The sequence below is a fragment of the Homo sapiens genome, chromosome 3, assembly GCF_000001405.40.
Source record: "Homo sapiens chromosome 3, GRCh38.p14 Primary Assembly".
NCBI lineage: Eukaryota > Metazoa > Chordata > Mammalia > Primates > Hominidae > Homo > Homo sapiens.
In genome coordinates this window covers 163779067-163780300 of record NC_000003.12, presented here as the reverse complement: position 1 = coordinate 163780300, position 1234 = coordinate 163779067, and the positions used below count along the sequence as shown (strand labels likewise).

General features: G+C 38.6%; 1 annotated feature.

Annotated features, from left to right (window-relative positions):
• Positions 465-982: an enhancer, noted in NCBI's record as "NANOG hESC enhancer chr3:163497107-163497624 (GRCh37/hg19 assembly coordinates)". NCBI's record gives its function as "activates a minimal SCP1, AML or CMV promoter by ChIP-STARR-seq in naive H9 embryonic stem cells {active_cell/tissue: H9 hESC(naive)}" and the evidence as "EXISTENCE:reporter gene assay evidence [ECO:0000049][PMID:30033119]".

The window sequence follows — 1234 nt, the reverse complement described above, 5'->3', positions numbered from 1 at the left end:
CCAGGGTCTCTTTACAGGAGCCAGAAAGATTAGGGTGCAAGTACAAAGGAATGTGGGAAGTCTATTTTACTAACCTGTTTACTTACATGGGCTTAAGACTGACCTTTGTCCTACCGCGCAGGTACTTTACTGCCTCCTACTGGGGGTCGGCAGAAGTTTATTACCCGCAAATGGTGTTTGCTTTAGGTCTTGGCCTTTTAATCTTTACCCTCTAGTGGTATTTACTCATGACTTTCATTAATTAGTCTAACTGAATAAATGCGAGCCTCACTAGCTGATCAGGGTTGAGTGGCAACTGTTTACAGAACTCAGCTTGGAGCCTGTAAGCGGCTCACTCAGCTGCACTGGCAGAGCAGAATATCTGTGTGTCAGTGTACCTTTATTCATCCGTCACTCTATCACCAGCCAATCGGAAAATGCGCCACACTGAAGGCACGTCTTCCCCACTCAGTTCACAAACTCACGTGACAATCTCCTTCAGAAACACTTGTACAGACACATCCAGAAATAATACTTTATTAGCTAACTAGTTATCCCTGAATCCAGTCAAGTTGTCACCTAAAATTAAGCATCACATAAGCCAACGTCTCATGGGAAACCTCCACACCCACTTCTGCCTTCCAACCTCCTCAATTTCCTTCTGGTTTTCTGCCTTTCAGATACCAGCCATTTCGGTAGTTCAAAGCTATTGTCTCTGACTCATTTACTTCAAAGGGACTGATGTGATCTGTATGGCTCTGAATTCCTGTCCAGCTATCAGTATTGTCTCTACAGAGAAAAGAGGCAATCATGGAATTCACTGCAGGAGATTCTCTTCTTTCAGGAACCACTGTCTTCCATTTCCTGTTCCCTGGTGACCAATGTCTGAAAACCATATTCTTATTCAATAGATTTTAGTATTTTTTTGTTTCATTTTTTGAAAACTAGTCTATTACTACTCTCATTGCCAAAAACAAGTCTGCTTCCTTAATAAGGAAAACAATTATGTTTTCATAATTTTTACTTATTTTGTAAATCTTAGAATTTTATAAATGAATACTATCAGTGTTAGTGTTTAAAAACAGCATGTAGCAATGTTAAAATTTTCAAAATAAGTTTTTGTTTATAGGACATTTTTGCCAAATTAGTTATCCTCTCATTTTTCAAAAATAAATTTTATTAAAAGGACACATTAGATATCACTTCACCAGCTCCAATATTTGCTGGATAATATGAAGGTCAGCATGTTTGTAAG